This window comes from Homo sapiens, chromosome X, assembly GCF_000001405.40.
Source record: "Homo sapiens chromosome X, GRCh38.p14 Primary Assembly".
In the NCBI taxonomy this organism is placed as follows: domain Eukaryota; kingdom Metazoa; phylum Chordata; class Mammalia; order Primates; family Hominidae; genus Homo; species Homo sapiens.
Genome location: NC_000023.11, coordinates 36,162,480 through 36,180,851, shown reverse-complemented (window position 1 = coordinate 36,180,851; position 18,372 = coordinate 36,162,480). Strand labels below are relative to the sequence as shown.

At 36.4% G+C, this 18,372-nt stretch overlaps 1 protein-coding gene across 2 annotated transcripts in view; it reads right to left on the bottom strand.

Annotated features, from left to right (window-relative positions):
• CFAP47 (cilia and flagella associated protein 47) overlaps positions 1-18,372 on the bottom strand; it is a 465,584-nt gene that overhangs the window by 204,466 nt on the left and 242,746 nt on the right. For both annotated transcript variants that reach the window (NM_001304548.2, XM_017029452.2), the window contains exon 40: positions 1,430-1,507. In NM_001304548.2, the coding sequence (NP_001291477.1) occupies positions 1,430-1,507 (78 nt within the window). The remainder of the gene's footprint in view (positions 1-1,429; positions 1,508-18,372) is intronic.

Sequence of the window (18,372 nt, the reverse complement as noted above, 5' to 3'; positions counted from 1 at the left end):
CAATACATCAATTCATATTTTATTGTTCACTAAAGCAAAATGTGAAAGAAGACTTCAAAAGCCCTAGGTAAGCATGACATTGGCGTTCAATAAAATAAATTCAGTGAGACAAAAATGGTTTCTTCTTTAATAACTTTTCTCACAGAATAACCATTGAAGGAATCAAACATCTCATAATAGATGCAACTCATATAATCTCCCAAAAGTGTTAAGTTAAATACAAGTCACTTTTGAAAAAATAAAAACTATACTCATTTTAATCTTAGCAAGATCTGTACAAGCACTTTAACGGTTTCTAATGACACTGGGAATTCCTGTCATCTAAATTGTCAAATTCTTGCCCCTTGATACATTTTTGGATCTAAAAGGATGATATTGATGCTGTCAAGCACTATACAAAGACAAACAAGGGTGTGAAATAAACTAAAAACATAGTAGTAATGGTCAACATAGGCATGCATTTCATTAATAGACATCTACATTATTTTCTCTCTACTTAACTTTCTTTAACCTTGATAACATTGTTTTTAATTGTACTTAACTTTATATAGTGATTCTATAGTGTAAAACAGAGGAGCAACATAAAACAATCAATTTTTTTAAAAATCCTGTTTCATTATTCAGCAAATTTCTTTATAAACTAAATATAGCCCTCATAAAGTAGGTAGAATAAATTTAAATCCTGTCAATCCTCATTATCCATGAATTCCATATTTGCAAATCCACCTACTTCCTAAAATGTATTTGCAACCCCAAAATCAATACTCATGGTGCGTTCATGGTGTTAAAGGACGTGCACAGAGTGGTGAAAAGTTCTCATCACCGGTTGCACCAATTCGCAGCTGAGGTCAAACAAGGTGACAAGGGGCCTTCTTATTTCAATCCTTATAAAAGTATAGAGATGACAAGAGGTAGAGACAATAGTGGGCAGTGCAGAGTAATGCAAGACACTCAGGCCTAGTGGACAGGGTTTGAATACCTTCTCTGATGCCTTTTATTGGGGCAGTGTCAGGAAAGCCATCTGATACTTCTGAACTTTGTTTTCATTTTGTAAAAAAAAAAAGAAAATAGAGTCTTCCATGACAGGTTATTTTTAGAGTTTACTATTGTAATCTGTATGATTATATGTGTTTCTTCTTGGAATAATGGTTCAGTATTCACAAACATAATATGTGCAGAAATTTTATAGAACATAACTACCACAAATAATGAAAATCTACTATATTTAATCAAGTTCAGATTTATTCAATTTTTATGCACATGAATCTAGTAACATATAAATATATATTTGGATATGAGTGTGAATTAGGTAAATTAAACATTTTGAATAAATGTAAACTATTGTGTAATTATATAACTAGTTTCCTTGACTACTTATTTCTCAAAACTTTTTCTCAGATACTTATGAGTACAAAATATAGACACTTACTCATGTTTCGGGTATTGCCTGGATTCAGTTAACTTCGTTGGCGAAGAGACAAATGTTGAGGATTCCACCAAAATGACACTGGAATAAATGAAGAAATAATTATTTTTAATTGATTGCAACAAAATTCCGATAACCACAAAACATTCTTCTTTTATTTTTTCCTATCATTCACAAAATATCCTTAGAATCAGAATAAACTACAGTTTAAAAAAATCCATGTGCTTTCATTCTGCAACTCAAAAGATATATGTTAGAAAGAAGGGAAAGATCGGGAATGGAAATATGTGAAACATAGTATCTTTTTATATGGAATGGCAGCACTGAATTCTCATAGCAAGGACATTTAGAAGATAAGTGACTGGTCAAATTATATTCCAGAAACAAACAGGAAATATCACACTGGTCTTACACATCACCAGAGCTGTACACGTTTCATAATTTCTAAACCTATTTCCATAAAAGAAAAATGTTTCTTTCAGGAGTGGACATGAGATGTGGGTAGCTAGTCAATCAGTATGTTAATAATTATGCCATCTTCTGAAATCACACAGCAATGGAAAGTCTTCCTATATGACAATGCTCATATATTCAAGAAATAGTTATAGAGACGCATTTGTTTCTTACTTGTAGGACATGAGGTTCTGGAAACACAAACATTTTTGCCTCAGGCTGCTCACATCATAGGGTAGGAATAGCATACAAATGATGCCTTAGCAGTACATTAAAGATGTCATGAAAATTCATGTCACGAATGGCTAATTCTACCTTCAGAAGTGAACAGATTGTGTCAAATATTGTTAAGAATAAAATATCCAAACTTGATTTATCAAAAGAAACCCCTTTTATTATGTAACAGTTATTGAGATCCCAAAATGCTAGCTTTTTGAGAAAAACTAGGCTAGTAATAAATTAATCAAAAGTTTTTGTCTTGATACACACACACACACCCACAAACACACACACAACTCTGCACATATAAACTAAAACACATTTTCCTACATCCTAAAATTTATTATTTTTCTTATTCTATTTTTTTCTTTAGTCAAATTTTTATTTTTTATTTTATTATTTTTAAAACTTTCAACTTTTATTTTAGATGCAGAGAGTTCATGTGCAGGGTTGGTACACAGGTATATTGCATGATGCTGAGGTTTGGGGTATAATTGATCTCATTACCCAGATAGTGAGCATAGTACCCAATAGGTAGTATTGCAGTCCTTGCCCCTCCATCCCTCTGCCCTCTAGTAGTTGCCAGTGTGTATTGTTCCCATCTTTATGTCCATGTGTACCCAATGTTTGGCTCCCACTTATAAATAAGGACATGTGGTAATTGGTTTTTAGTTTCTGCATCAATTCTCTTAGGATGATGGCCTCCAGCTGTTTTCATGTTTTTGCAAAGAACATGATCTCTTTCATTTTTATGGCTGCAGAGTATTCCATGGTGCATATGTACCACGTTTTCTTTATCCAATCCACCATTGATGGGCACCTAAGTTGATTCCATGTCTTTCTTACTGTGAATAGTGCTGCAATGAACATACGAGTGCATGTGTATTTCTGGTAGAATGATTTGCTTATCTTTGGGTATATACCCACTATTACGATTGCTGGATCAAATGGTAACTCTATTTTAAGTTCTTTGAGAAATCTCCAAACTGCTTTCCACAGTGGCTGAACTAATGCCAACATCAGATTCTGTACTATTGTTTTAAATTGATATTTCTGATGCTTTCATATAAGAATTATAAAGAATTATGTGAATATTAAATACTAAAAATTTTTAAACAGACAAAATTAACTATAGTAAAATGTAAACTGTGAACTTTGTGAAACATCTTTCAGACTACCAGATTCACCTATATTATTATTAAGTCACAATTAGGCAAATACATAAAGAAGAATTCCTCTCCAGAGAGTAATTTACATTTAAAGTCAGCTACTAAATTCTAAATTCTCATCTAAATTTCATAAAATTATGAGGCAGAAGAATATTCCAACATTTATTTATATTTCTATAAATCCAAGGTAACTAATTGGAGAAATTTATTTTGGTGATAATCTGTTCTGGCTAAAAAGTAGTCACAAGGATCATAAAATTTGACACACAAATAAAATGACTAGCCCAACGTAATAAATATCATATTTTTATACACTGTACATACACCATTTTGAGACAAAATAGCAATCTACATGTGTCTGAATCATCCCTGCTTAAATACAAAGAGCACGTTTTCCTAAAATATACAGAAATATTAACTGTAAAAATGCAATATGAACTACCTGTTAAAAGAAAAAAATAATCCTACTTGATAACTGCAGTTTCTAAATCAGCAGCTCTCACACTTCAATCTGCATAATAATTACTTAAAGTGTGTTCAAAATGCAGATTTCCAAAGTTCTACCTATATGAATTCTACGCAGGTCTGGAATGGGTTCCAGAAATCTTTATTTAAAACAAGTTCTTAAGATGCTTTTAATATAGTTTGCCCATTTATTTAATTTTTTTATTTTTATTTTTTTAGACGGAGTCTCACTCTGTCGCCCAGGCTGGAATGCAATGGCACAATCTCCGCTCACTGCAACCTCAGCCTCCAGGTTCAAGTGATTCTTCCACCTCAGCCTCCCAAGTAGCTGGGATTACAGGTGCATGCCACCATGCGCGGCTAATTTTTTTGAATTTTTGTAGAGACTGAGTTTCACCATGTTGGCCAGGCTGGTCTTGAACTCCTGACCTCATGATCCCTCCGCCTTGGCCTCCCAAAGTGCTGGGATTACAGGCATGAGCCACCAAGCCTGGCCTCACCCATTTATTAAACTTTGAAACCTGCTGACCTAGAACAACGTGATTCTAATATTAATGTACAAACAAATCTTCTGGAGATGTTATTAAATGCAGATTCTGACTCAATTGGATTGAAGTGGGCCTCAAATTTTGTCTTTCTAGCAAGCTCCCAGGTGATGCTGGTGCTACTGATCCAAGGATAACACTTTGAGAAGCAAGAGCCTAAGCTAAAACATAAAATATTTTTCAAATTACAAAACTAGACAACCAGTGAAAGAAAGGCAGAGAATTACAGCATTAGAACCACCATACAGTTGGAGGAGCCAAGATGGCCGAATAGGAACAGCTCCGGTCTACAGCTCCGAGCGTGAGTGACGCAGAAGATGGGTGATTTCTGCATTTCCATCTGAGGTACGGGGTTCATCTCACTAGGGAGTGCCAGACAGTGGGCACAGGTCAGTGGGTGCGCACACCATGCACGAGCCGAAGCAGGGTGAGGCATTGCCTCACTCGGGAAGCACAAGGGGTCAGGGAGTTCCCTTTCCTAGTCAAAGAAAGGGGTGACAGACGGCACCTGGAAAATCGGGTCACTCCCACCTGAATACTGCGCTTTTCCGATGGGCTTAAAAAAGGGCGCGCCAGGAGATTATATCCCGCACCTGGCTCGGAGGGTCCTACGCCCACGGAGTCTCGCTGATTGCTAGCACAGCAGTCTGAGATCAAACTGCAAGGCGGCAGCGAGGCTGGGGGAGGGGCGCCCGCCATTGCCCAGGCTTGCTTAGGTAAACAAAGCAGCCTGGAAGCTGGAACTGGGTGGAGCCCACCACAGCTCAAGGAGGCCTGCCTGCCTCTGTAGGCTCCACCTCTGGGGGCAGGGCACAGACAAACAAAAAGACAGCAGTAACCTCTGCAGACTTAAATGTCCCTGTCTGACAGCTTTGAAGAAAACAGTGGTTCTCCCAGCAAGCAGCTGGAGATCTGAGAATGGGCAGACTGCCTCCTTAAGTGGGTCCCTGACTGCTGACATCCGAGCAGCCTAACTGGGAGGCACCACCCCAGCAGGGGCAGACTGACACTTCACACGGCCGGGTACTCCAACAGACCTGCAGCTGAGGGTCCGGTCTGTTAGAAGGAAAACTAACAAACAGAAAGGACATCCACACCAAAAACCAATCTGTACATCACCATCATCAAAGACCAAAAGTAGATAAAACCACAAAGATGGGGAAAAAACAGAGCAGAAAAACTGGAAACTCTAAAAAGCAGAGCGCCTCTCCTCCTCCAAAGGAACGCAGTTCCTCAACAGCAACGGAACAAAGAGACGGAGAATGACCTTGATGAGCTGAGAGAAGAAGGCTTCAGACGATCAAATTGCTCTGAGCTATGGGAGGACATTCAAACCAAAGGCAAAGAAGTTGAAAGCTTTGAAAAAAATTTAGAAGAATGTATAACTAGAATAACCAATACAGAGAAGTGCTTAAAGGAGCTGATGGAGCTGAAAACCAAGGCTCAAGAACTACGTGAAGAATGCAGAAGCCTCAGGAGCCGATGCGATCAACTGGAAGAAAGGGTATCAGTGATGGAAGATGAAATGAATGAAATGAAGCGAGAAGGGAAGTTTAGAGAAAAAAGAATAAAAAGAAACGAGCAAAGCCTCCAAGAAATATGGGACTATGTGAAAAGACCAAATCTACGTCTGACTGGTGTACCTGAAAGTGACGGGGAGAATGGAACCAAGTTGGAAAACACTCTGCAGGATATTATCCAGGAGAACTTCCCCAATCTAGCAAGGCAGGCCAACATTCAGATTCAGGAAATACAGAGAATGCCACAAAGATACTGCTCGAGAAGAGCAACTCCAAGACACATAATTGTCAGATTCACCAAAGTTGAAATGAAGGAAAAAATGTTAAGGGCAGCCAGAGAGAAAGGTCGGGTTACCCTCAAAGGGAAGCCCATCAGACTAACAGCGGATCTCTCGGCAGAAACTCTACAAGCCAGAAGAGAGTGGGGGCCAATATTCAACATTCTTAAAGAAAAGAATTTTCAACCCAGAATTTCATATCCAGCCAAACTAAGCTTCATAAGTGAAGGAGAAATAAAATCCTTTACAGACAAGCAAATGCTGAGAGATTTTGTCACCACCAGGCCTGCCCTAAAAGAGCTCCTGAAGGAAGCACTCAACATGGAAAGGAACAACCGGTACCAGCTGCTGCAAAATCATGCCAAAATGTAAAGACCATCGAGACTAGGAAGAAACTGCATCAACTAACGAGCAAAATAACCAGCTAACATCATAATGACAGGATCAAATTCACACATAACAATATTAACCTTAAATGTAAATGGACTGTATGCTCCAATTAAAAGACACAGACTGGCAAATTGGATAAAGAGTCAAGACCCATCAGTGTGCTGTATTCAGGAAACCCATCTCACATGCAGAGACACACATAGGCTCAAAATAAAAGGATGGAGGAAGATCTACCAAGCCAATGGAAAACAAAAAAAGGCAGGGGTTGCAATCCTAGTCTCTGATAAAACAGACTTTAAACCAACAAAGATCAAAAGAGACAAAGAAGGCCATTACATAATGGTAAAGGGATCAATTCAACAAGAAGAGCTAACTATCCTAAATATATATGCACCCAATACAGGTGCACCCAGATTCATAAAGCAAGTCCTGAGTGACCTACAAAGAGAATTAGACTCCCACACATTAATAATGGGAGACTTTAACACCCCAGTGTGAACATTAAACAGATCAATGAGACAGAAAGTCAACAAGGATACCTAGGAATTGAGCTCAGCTCTGCACCAAGTGGACCTAATAGACATCTACAGAACTCTCCACCCTAAATCAACAGAATATACATTTTTTTCAGCACCACCCAACACCTATTCCAAAATTGACGACATACTTGGAAGTAAAGCTCTCCTCAGCAAATGTAAAAGAATAGAAATTATAACAAACTGTCTCCCAGACCACAGTGCAATCAAACTAGAACTCAGGATTAAGAATCTCACTCAAAACCGCTCAACTACATGGAAACTGAACAACCTGCTCCTGAATGACTACTGAGTACATAACAAAATGAAGGCAGAAATAAAGATGTTCTTTGAAACCGACGAGAACAAAGACACAACATACCAGAACCTCTGGGACACATTCAAAGCAGTGTGTAGAGGGAAATTTATAGCACTAAATGCCCACAAGAGAAAGCAGGAAAGATCTAAAATTGATACCCTAACATCACAATTAAAAGAACTAGAAAAGCAAGAGCAAACACATCCAAAAGCTAGCAGAAGGCAAGAAATAACTAAAATCAGAGCAGAACTGAAGGAAATAGAGACAAAAGAAACCCTTCAAAAAATTAACGAATCCAGGAGCTGGTTTTTTGAAAGGATCAACAAAATTGATAGACTGCTAGCAAGACTAATAAAGAAAAAAACAGAGAAGAATCAAATAGACACAATAAAAAATGATAAAGGGAATATCACCACTGATCCCACAGAAATACAAACTACCATCAGAGAATACTACAAACACCTCTACGCAAATAAACTAGAAAATCTAGAAGAAATGGATAAATTCCTCGACACATACACTCTCCCAAGACTAAACCAGGAAGAAGTTGAATCTCTGAATAGACCAATAACAGGAGCTGAAATTGTGGCAATAATCAATAGCTTACCAACAAAAAAGAGTCCAGGACCAGATGGATTCACAGCCGAATTCTACCAGAGGTACAAGGAGGAACTGGTACCATTCCTTCTGAAACTATTCCAATGAACAGAAAAAGAGGGAATCCTCCCTAACTCATTTTATGAGGCCAGCATCATCCTGATACCAAAGCCGGGCAGAGACACAACCAAAAAAGAGAATTTTAGACCAATATCCTTGATGAATATTGCTGCAAAATTCCTCAATAAAATACTGGCAAACCGAATCCAGCAGCACATCAAAAAGCTTATCCACCATGATCAAGTGGGCTTCATCCCTGGGATGCAAGGCTGGTTCAACATATGCAAATCAATAAATGTAATCCAGCATATAAACAGAACCAAAGACAAAAACCACATGATTATCTCAATAGATGCAGAAAAGGCCTTTGACAAAATTCAACAACCCCTCATGCTAAAAACTCTCAATAAATTAGGTATTGATGGGACGTATCTCAAAATAATAAGAGCTATCTATGACAAACCCACAGCCAATATCATACTGAATGGGCAAAAACTGGAAGCATTCCCTTTGAAAACTGGCACAAGACAGGGATGCCCTCTCTCACCTCTCCTATTCAACATAGTGTTGGAAGTTCTGGCCAGGGCAGTCAGGCAGGAGAAGGAAATAAAGGGTATTCAATTAGGAAAACAGGAAGTCAAATTGTCCCTGTTTGCAGATGACATGATTGTATATCTAGAAAACCCCATTGTCTCAGCCCAAAATCTCCTTAAGCTGATAAGCAACTTCAGCAAAGTCTCAGGATACAAAATCAATGTACAAAAATCACAAGCATTCTTATACACCAACGACAGACAAACAGAGAGCCAAATCATGAGTGAACTCCCATTCACAATTGCTTCAAAGAGAATAAAATACCTAGGAATTCAACTTACAAGGGATGTGAAGGACCTCTTCAAGGAGAACTACAAACCACTTCTCAAGGAAATAAAAGAGGATACAAACAAATGGAAGAACATTCCATGCTCATGGGTAGGAAGAATCAATATCGTGAAAATGGCCATACTGCCCAAGGTAATTTATAGATTCAATGCCATCCCCATCAAGCTACCAATGACTTTCTTCACAGAATTGGAAAAAACTACTTTAAAGTTCATAAGGAACCAAAAAATAGCCCGCATCGCCAAGTCAATCCTGAGCCAAAAGAACAAAGCTGGAGGCATCACACTACCTGACTTCAAACTATATTACAAGGCTACAGTAACCAAAACAGTATGGTACTGGTACCAAAACAGAGATATAGATCAATGGAACAGAACAGAGCCCTCAGAAATAACGCCACATATCTACAGCTATCTGATCTTTGACAAACCTGAGAAAAACAAGCAATGGGGAAAGGATTCCTTATTTAATAAATGGTGCTGGGAAAACTGGCTAGCCATATGTAGAAAGCTGAAACTGGATCCCTTCCTTACACCTTATACAAAAATTAATTCAAGATGGATTAAAGACTTAAACGTTAGACCTAAAACCATAACAACCCTAGAAGAAAACCTAGGCATTACCATTCAGGACACAAGCATGGGCAAGGACTTCATGTCTAAAACACCAAAAGCAATGGCAACAGAAGCCAAAATTGACAAATGGGATCTAATTAAACTCAAGAGCTTCTGCACAGCAAAAGAAACTACCATCAGAGTGAACAGGCAACCTACAAAATGGGAGAAAATTTTTGCAACCTACTCATCTGACAAAGGGCTAATATCCAGAATCTACAATGAACTCAAACAAATTTACAAGAAAAAAACAAACAACCCCATCAAAAAGTGGGCAAAGGACATGAACGGACACTTCTCAAAAGAAGACATTTATGCAGCCAAAAAACACATGAAAAAATGCTCACCATCACTGGCCATCAGAGAAATGCAAATCAAAACCACAATGAGATACCATTTCACACCAGGTAGAATGGCAATCATTAAAAAGTCAGGAAACAACAGGTGCCGGAGAGGATGTGGAGAAATAGGAACACTTTTACACTGTTGGTGGGACTGTAAACTAGTTCAACCATTGTGGAAGTCAGTGTGGCGATTCCTCAGGGATCTAGAACTAGAAATACCATTTGACCCAGCCATCCCGTTACTGGGTATATACCCAAAGGACTATAAATCATGCTGCTATAAAGACACATGCACACGTATGTTTATTGCGGCATTATTCACAATAGCAAAGACTTGGAACCAACCCAAATGTCCAACAATGATAGACTGGATTAAGAAAATGTGGCACATATACACCATGGAATACTATGCAGCCATAAAAAATGATGTGTTCATGTCCTTTGTAGGGACATGGATGAAATTGGAAATCATCATTCTCGGTAAACTATCACAAGAACAAAAAACCAAACACTGCATATTCTCGCTCATATGTGGGAATTGACAATGAGAACACATGGACACAGGAAGGGGAACATCACACTCTGGGGACTGTTGTGGGGTCGGGGGAGGAGGGAGGGATAGCATTGGGAGATATACCTAATGCTAGATGACGAGGTAGTGGGTGCAGCGCACCAGCATGGCACATGTATCATATGTAACTAACCTGCACATTGTGCACATGTACCCTAAAACTTAAAGTATAATAATAATGAATAAATAAATAAATAAAAAGAACCACCATACATTTATCCCTCTATATAAGCAACAAAAACCACAGGTAAGGGTTGTGAAAATTTACTTTTTCAGAACACTGGTAAATACAGAGAGGCATGCAACAATCTCAGGAGTAGTGTTTATCCAAGAAAAACTCCAAACTTTGGTAAGATCAGTGGAGTTTGTTGCATTGGAACTTGTGTGTTGTAACTCCCATCCTCCTTTTGACAGCTCTGCAGCAGCCTTGCATCCACGGAAGTTGTAAAACTCTGTAGCTTACAACCTGAAGAAGGGAAAGACTGAGATTGGACTTCTTCAAAAAAATCTTATTCCTGAGCACTGTTTTTATCTATCCTGTCTTGCTGCTTCCTGGAAAACTTCAAGCCTTAATTTGTAATGCATTTGTCTTTATTTGACCTGACTTAAGGGAGAACACCTACCACACCAGGATGTTTGCTGAAATCAATCCACAGCAATTATGTGTGAGATTGCTGCAGCAGTTGGGTCAAACAAAAGCCTGATGAAACATGAGAGGAACATATGGGGGAAAAGATGCCCATGTGTTGGATTAAACTAACTTGCCTGATCCCCAAAATATGTCAAAGATCTTTAATGCTGCATATGAGATACAATGATGTGTCACCAAATAGACAACATCAATTAAATAGATAGAAATGATACAAAAGAACCAATTAGAAATTCTAGAATTGAAAAATAACATCCCTGAAACTAAAAATTACTAGAGGGGCTCAACAGCAGGTTTGGTATGGCAAAAGAAAAAAAGAAGCAGTGCATTTAAAAATACGTCAATTGATATTATTTCTTTTGAGGAACAGGGAGAAAAATAATAAAGAAAAACTAACAGAGCTCCAGATGCCTGTGGGACACCAACATAAGTCTAATGAGAATTTCCAAAAGACAAGAGAGAGAAAGAGGTAAAAAAAAAAAACATTTTAAAAATAAAGAATGAATACTTCTAAAATTTGATGAAAAACATTAATTTCCCCATCCAAGAAGCACAAAGAACACTTTGTAGGATAAACTTAAGGCAATCCACATATAGATAATAATAATCAAACAGTGGAAAGGCTAAGATATAGACAATCTTGTAAGTAGCAATACAAAATTGACTCAGTGTCTACAGTGGCTCCTTAATATGATTAACAGCTGACTTTCCATCTGAAATGCTGGAAGATAGAAGACAATAGGATTATGTATTCAGTACACTGCAAGAAATCGAGTTGATGAAGTACAATGTATACAGAAAAAACTCTCCTTCAAAAAAATTTTTAAAAAAAGAGAAGAAAACAAAAAAACTGTCCTTCAAAAATGAAGGAGAAAAGATATTCTAAAGTAAAGAATAACTAAAACAATTCATTACTAGCAGAACTGTGGCACAAGAAATATTTCAGCTGAGATAAAAGGACACAAGAAATTAATCAAAACCACAAGAGGTAATAAAAGGCATGAAGAAAGGTGACTACACTGGTAAATATATATTTAAAAACAAGCTGTAAATTTTCATTTTCTTTGCAACTCTTTATATTTGCCTTTCTCATTTAAAATAAGCAGGAGGGCTGGGTGCGGTGGCTCATGCCTGTAATCCCAGCTCTCAGGGAGGCAGAGGCGGCAGGATAGCTTGAGCCCAGGAGTTCGAGACCTGCCTGGGCAATATAGCGAGACCCTGTTCTCCACAAAAGGGAAGAAAAAGAAAAAGACAAAAAAAAATAAGCGTAAAATAAGCAGGAGTAGGACAATAAATATAAAACTGCTTTATGGGCTTATAATGCATTAAGATGAAATTGGTATAATAACACTAGGGAAAGGCTAGGAAAAAGAGATACATTGCAGATACAAAGTTTCTGAGTTATATTGAAATTCAGTTGGTATTCATCTGAGTTAGATTGTTTTACATTAGACGCTGATTGTAATCCTCAGGGTAACTATTAAGAAAACAATTAGAAAATCATGAAGTAAAAGGAACTAAAAGGAATTAAAATGTTATACAAAATAACTATTAAAAAACTCAGGCAGTAACAGAGAAATAGATGAACAAAGACATTAGTCATATATAAAGGAAATATAAAAGTGACATATAAAATCTACTAGATTACAGATTGACTTAAATTTAACAGACTAAACACTTCAATCAAACAGGAAAGATTGACAAGATGGGTAAAAGAAAAGAGACAAACTTTGGGTTCAAAAACACAAACCAATTGGGATTAAAAAGATTTAAAAAGGAATACCATGAAAATAGTAATAAAAAAGGAGCTGGAGTGGCTATCTTAATAACAGATAAAATAATATTTAAGACCAACATTAAGCCTGACACCATGAGAGATCCTTGGACTCTCACCCCAAGCAAATGAGTAAAAACAAAACAAACAAACAAGGAAACCCAAAAAAACACTTTGAAATTCTCTGGAGATTGTTCTAAGGGCATACAGGAAATTAAGAAAAATCTTTAAACAAAATAAACTAAAATATAATAAGAAAACCAGTAGTCTGTGATATTTGAACCAAGAACTCTATCTCCTTCTTCCTTTCAAGCTCAACAAAAAAGAAACTTAGTTTCAGACTGTTTTTGCCAAGAACATAGGGCTCTTCCTTCCCCTGGCTCCCATTTGGAGGCCTATGTTTCTGGGAGGCATGGGATACCAACATCTTCACCTCAGTACATGTTGCTAAGGCTAGGTTCTGGGCAAGCGCAGTTGAGAGACCGTGAGAAGCTCTTTTCTTCTACCCAGCACCCACTCACGGACTGAAGCTCTCACGAGTGTGGCACTGCTGAAAATACTGAAACCCCAACTGCCTTTGCCCAGTTCGTAAGGTGGTAGTTCCACACTGGGAGAAGCAAGTCAAAAAATCCTGAGGCTATTTTGCCCCCTTGCCCACCTAGCACTCAGCTCCTAAAATGGAGGGTTTGCTGAAGAAAAAGTGCACCATTGTCCCCACCCCTAGCTCTAGAGTCATGGATCAGATATTTTCCCTGAGGAGAGAAGCGGGCTTTAAAATGAATAGCTCCTAATCGCTTCCCAAAGTACTGATTTCATTTTCAATAATGTGTGGAGAAATTCAAGCGAAAGTTGAATTTCTCAGAAATAGTGCCAGTTATGGTGAAATACAATTGGATGGAGATTGGTAGATCAACAAAGATGCAAGCTAAACTACAGGCCTGTTAGTTTGCTGGAGAGAACTGGTGAAGGAGACTGCTAGAAGTCCTCCTGGAGTCAGAAAAAATCTTAAACAATGATTTATAGAACTGTTTTTTCAAAGAGGTCTGAAGTTGACTGAATTAGCTTGAAGAGTAACTTATCCACCCCCACCCCACGCAGGGAATTTAACAGAAGGGTGTGGTCAGGAAAACACACAGGGAGCCCTGCCAAAACCACTGTAATCCCAGGGTAATTGTGGGCATGCCAAAGACGGTGGCCTTTGACAAGCAACATCAGAGCCTTAACACTATGTGTGTGTAGGTTTGAGCAGGGGGAGATAGACATCACCAAAATAACCCAGCCAGTCAGTAAAAAAATTAGAAGTGCAAAGAACATTAGCAAGCCTGGGGCAGATAGAACACATATCTAGAATTGGCATAATATATTGTCTACAATGTCTACTGTATTTCATAAACATGAAACACACACACACAAAAAGAAGAAAAGTAACAGACAGTAGAAACTGCCTGTTAGAGTAACCCAGGTATCAGATTGAACAGAAATCAAATTTAAAATAGCCATTATAAATATCTTCAAAGAAATAAAGGAAACTATAATTAAAGAAGTAAAGGAAAGCATGATGACAATGTGGCATCAAATAGAGAATATCAACAAAGAAATTGAAATTATAAAAAAAAGAAACAAATGGAAATTTTGGAGATGGAAGCTACAATAAGAGAGATAAAAATTCACTCAAGGGCTTAATAGTAGATTTGAATTGGGGGAAGAAAGAACTAACAAACTTGAAGATTGGTAGAGATTACACATTCTGAAGAACAGAGAAAAAAATGAAGAAAAGTAAATAGAATCTGACGTATGTATGGTAGGCACACCATTAAGAACAAAATGTGGGCAATGAAATTACCTGAATAAAAAAAGGAGAGAGGAAAAAGAAGAGAAAAAATGTTCAAAAAATAAAGTGGGTGAGATGAAAGCTGGATCAGGTCACAGAAATTATTCTATATGGTAGCAACAATCCATGCGAACAAATGAAGAGAAATGGAAATAATAAGTAGGAAGGTTAAAATATAAAAAACTATAGATATATACTTGCTGTTTGTTATGGGCTGAAGTTTGTCCCCTCCAACTTCATATGTTGAAGCCCTAACCCCGGTATCTCCAAATGTGACTGTATTTGGAGAAAGAGCCTTTAAGTAGATAATTAAGTTAAGGCCCTCAGGGTGGGTCCTAATCCAATCTGAATTATGTCCTTATAAGAAGAAGGAAATTTGAAAACACAAAGAGATATCAGGGATATACATTCACAGAAAAAAGACAAAATGAGGAGACAACTATCTGTAGGCCAAGGAGAAAAGTTTCAGAATAAAGAAAAAATGACGGTGTTTTAATCTTGGACTTCTAACTGCCAGAACTCTAAGAACATAAATTTCTGTAGTTTATTCCATCTGATCTGTGGTGTTTTGTTATGGAAACCCTAGTAAACCAATACACTTTCTCCCAGCTTTCTCAAAGTCATACAAATTATATAAAGTAATAATTATAGCAATATATTGTTGGGTATGTAATATTGATGTAATATGTATGACAATACCACCAGGAAAAGAATGGAAAGGGAATAGAGCTATATAAGAGTAACACGTTGTGAATCTTACTGGAATTAAGTTAGTATATATCTGAAGTTGATTATGATAAGTAAAAATGTCTATGGTAAACTCTGGTGCAATCATTAAGAAAACAAATTCAAAAATATTTTGAAAAAGCCTTTAAAAATTAAAATCCTGCATTGAAAAATATTCACTATTATTAAAAAAAGAAGTCATGGACTAATAGAGAAACAAACAAAAAGACATACAATATAGCAAACTAAATGGAAATTGGCAAAAGTAAAATCAACTGTGTCAATAATAACAAATTTGTGAATTGATTAAATAATGCAATCTAAAGCAGTGAGTAATATACACATACAATAGAAAATTATTCTGACTAAAAAAAGAGGAAGTCTTGCATCTGTAACAACGTGGATGAACCTGGAGGACATTATGCTAAGTGAAATAAGTCAGTCACAGAATTATAAATAAGCATAATTCCATTGATATGAAGTGTTTACAGTAGTCAAACTCATAGAAGCGAAGAAGGCCATCATGACTGACAGTAGCTGTGGGTTTACGGAAATGGAGAGTTGTTGTTCAATGGGTATAAAGTTTCAATTATACTTTTAGATGAGTAAGTTATAGACATCCACTATAAAATATAGTGCCAATAGTTAACAATATCATGCACTTCAAAATGTAAGAGGGTAGATATCATGCTAAGTGTTTTTACCAAAAAACAAACAAACAAACAAACCAGAAAACCAAAGGGACACAAGAGAACTTTGGGAGGTGTTGGAAATTTCTGTTCCTTTGATTATGGTAATGATATCATGGGTGTTTGCACATGTCTAAACTCATCAAAATGTACACAGTAAATACCTGCAGTTCTTTCATATAAATGTTATCTTAATGAAGCTATTAAAACAAAACAAAACCCCCAAATCTGACCATATGCTATATAAAGGAGACATACTTTAGATTGAAAGATAAAAAATAGATTGAAAGTAAAAGGATGAAAAATTATATATCATACACACAACCACAAGAATGTTGAAGTAGCTATACTAATACAAGACATGATAGAATTTGAAACAAAAATTGTAACTATAGATAGAGACATTTTATATGAACAATCAGGAAGATAAAATTACTATAAATATATATTCACTGAATTTTAGAGCACCAAAAGACAGAAAGTAAAACTGACATAAGTGAAGGGAGAAATGAACAGATCAACATTAATAGTTAGATAGTTAAATACTGCCCTTTTAATTATGAATAGAAAAATTTAGGCAGAAAATCTACAAGAAAATATGTCTTATACAATATTATAAACCAACTAAAATTAAGAGGTACCTATAGAACACTTTACTCAACAACAGCAAAATATAGATTCTTCTCATGAGCATTCTGCAGTATGGACCTTATGATACGCCATAAAACAAATCTTCATAAATTTAAAATGATTTAAATAATACAAAGTATGCTCTCTAACTTGAATGGAATAAAATTAGTGACAGAAAAGTTGAAAATTAACAAACATGGGGAAATTAAACAACATACTCCGAAATAACTGGTGGGTTAGCAAGAAATAAAAAAGAAATTAAAAATAATTTAAGATTACTGGGCATGGTGGCTCATGCCTGTAATTCCAGCACTTTGGGAGGCCAAGGTGGGTGGATCACCTGAGGTCAAGAGTTCGAGACCAGCCTGGCCAATATGGTGACACCTCATCTCTACTACAAATACAAAAATTTGCTGGGTGTGGTGGTAGGCGCCTGTAATCCCAGCTACTCAGGAGGCTGAGGCAAGAGAATCACTTGAAACCGGGAGGCAGACGTTGCAGTGAGCCGAGATCACGCCATTGCACTTCAGCCTGGGGGCAAGAACATAACTCTGTCTCAAAAGTAATAATAATAATTTAAGATTAATGAAGATAAAAATAACACATTCCAAAACATATGAGATGAAGCTCAAGCAGTCCTTAGAGAGAAATATGTAGATAAAAATGCCTATATGAAAAAAAATCTCATAATAATAATCTAAATTTTCACCTTAAGAAGTGAGAAAAAAAAGAGACATCTAAACACAAAGCAAATAGAAGGAAATAATTAATATCCAAAAAAGTTAGCACAGAAATAAAATAGAGGATAGTAAAACAATAGAGAACATCAAGGAAAGCAGAAGGAATTTTTTTAAAAGATCAGTGAAATGACAAATTATTACCTAGACTGATCAAGAATATAAACGAATTAAATTACTAAAATAAGGGATAGAAGGAGGAACATCACTATTTGCCTTTCAGAAATTAAAAAAGGATTATAAGGGAATACTCTGAAAGCCTCTGTGCCAACAAATTAGATAACTTAGAAGAAATGCAGAAATTTCTGGAATAAAATAAACTAGCAAAACCGATTTGAGAAGAAACAGAAAATCTGAACAGGCTCATAACAAAGAGATGGAATTAGTAATTATATAAACTTCCACAAAGCAAAGCTCAGAACCAGATGGCTTCACCTGTGAATTATATCAAACATTCAAATAACTAATACCAATCCTTCACAAAGTATTCCAAACAATAGAATAGAAGGTAACATTTCAGAAATAATTCTATAAGGTTAATATTAATCATACAAAAACAGACAAATCACTGAAAAAGGCAATTACACTATTAAATATTATAATTGTACAGGCAAAATCCTCAATAAAATACTGTACTAGCAAACTAAATCTTATCAAATATAAAATTAAAAAACAGCATTATAGAGCATGAAATAGTGGTGTTCTGCAAAAGAAGAATTTGAGAATCACCAGTCTGGGAGCAAGGCATGGGAATTAACAACCTGGTCAGCTAATCCTATCTCTGTTAAATATAGACTGGATTGCCTTATTTGTTCAAAGTAATGTGAAATTTTGATAAAACATGATCAATTCTTGTCACTTATGCATACAATATTGGGGAATATATGGGGATATTTTTATTTTATTTTAAAGTATGTTTAATATGAGACTGCTAATAATAACCAAGTCAATCATTTATTAAGTGTAATA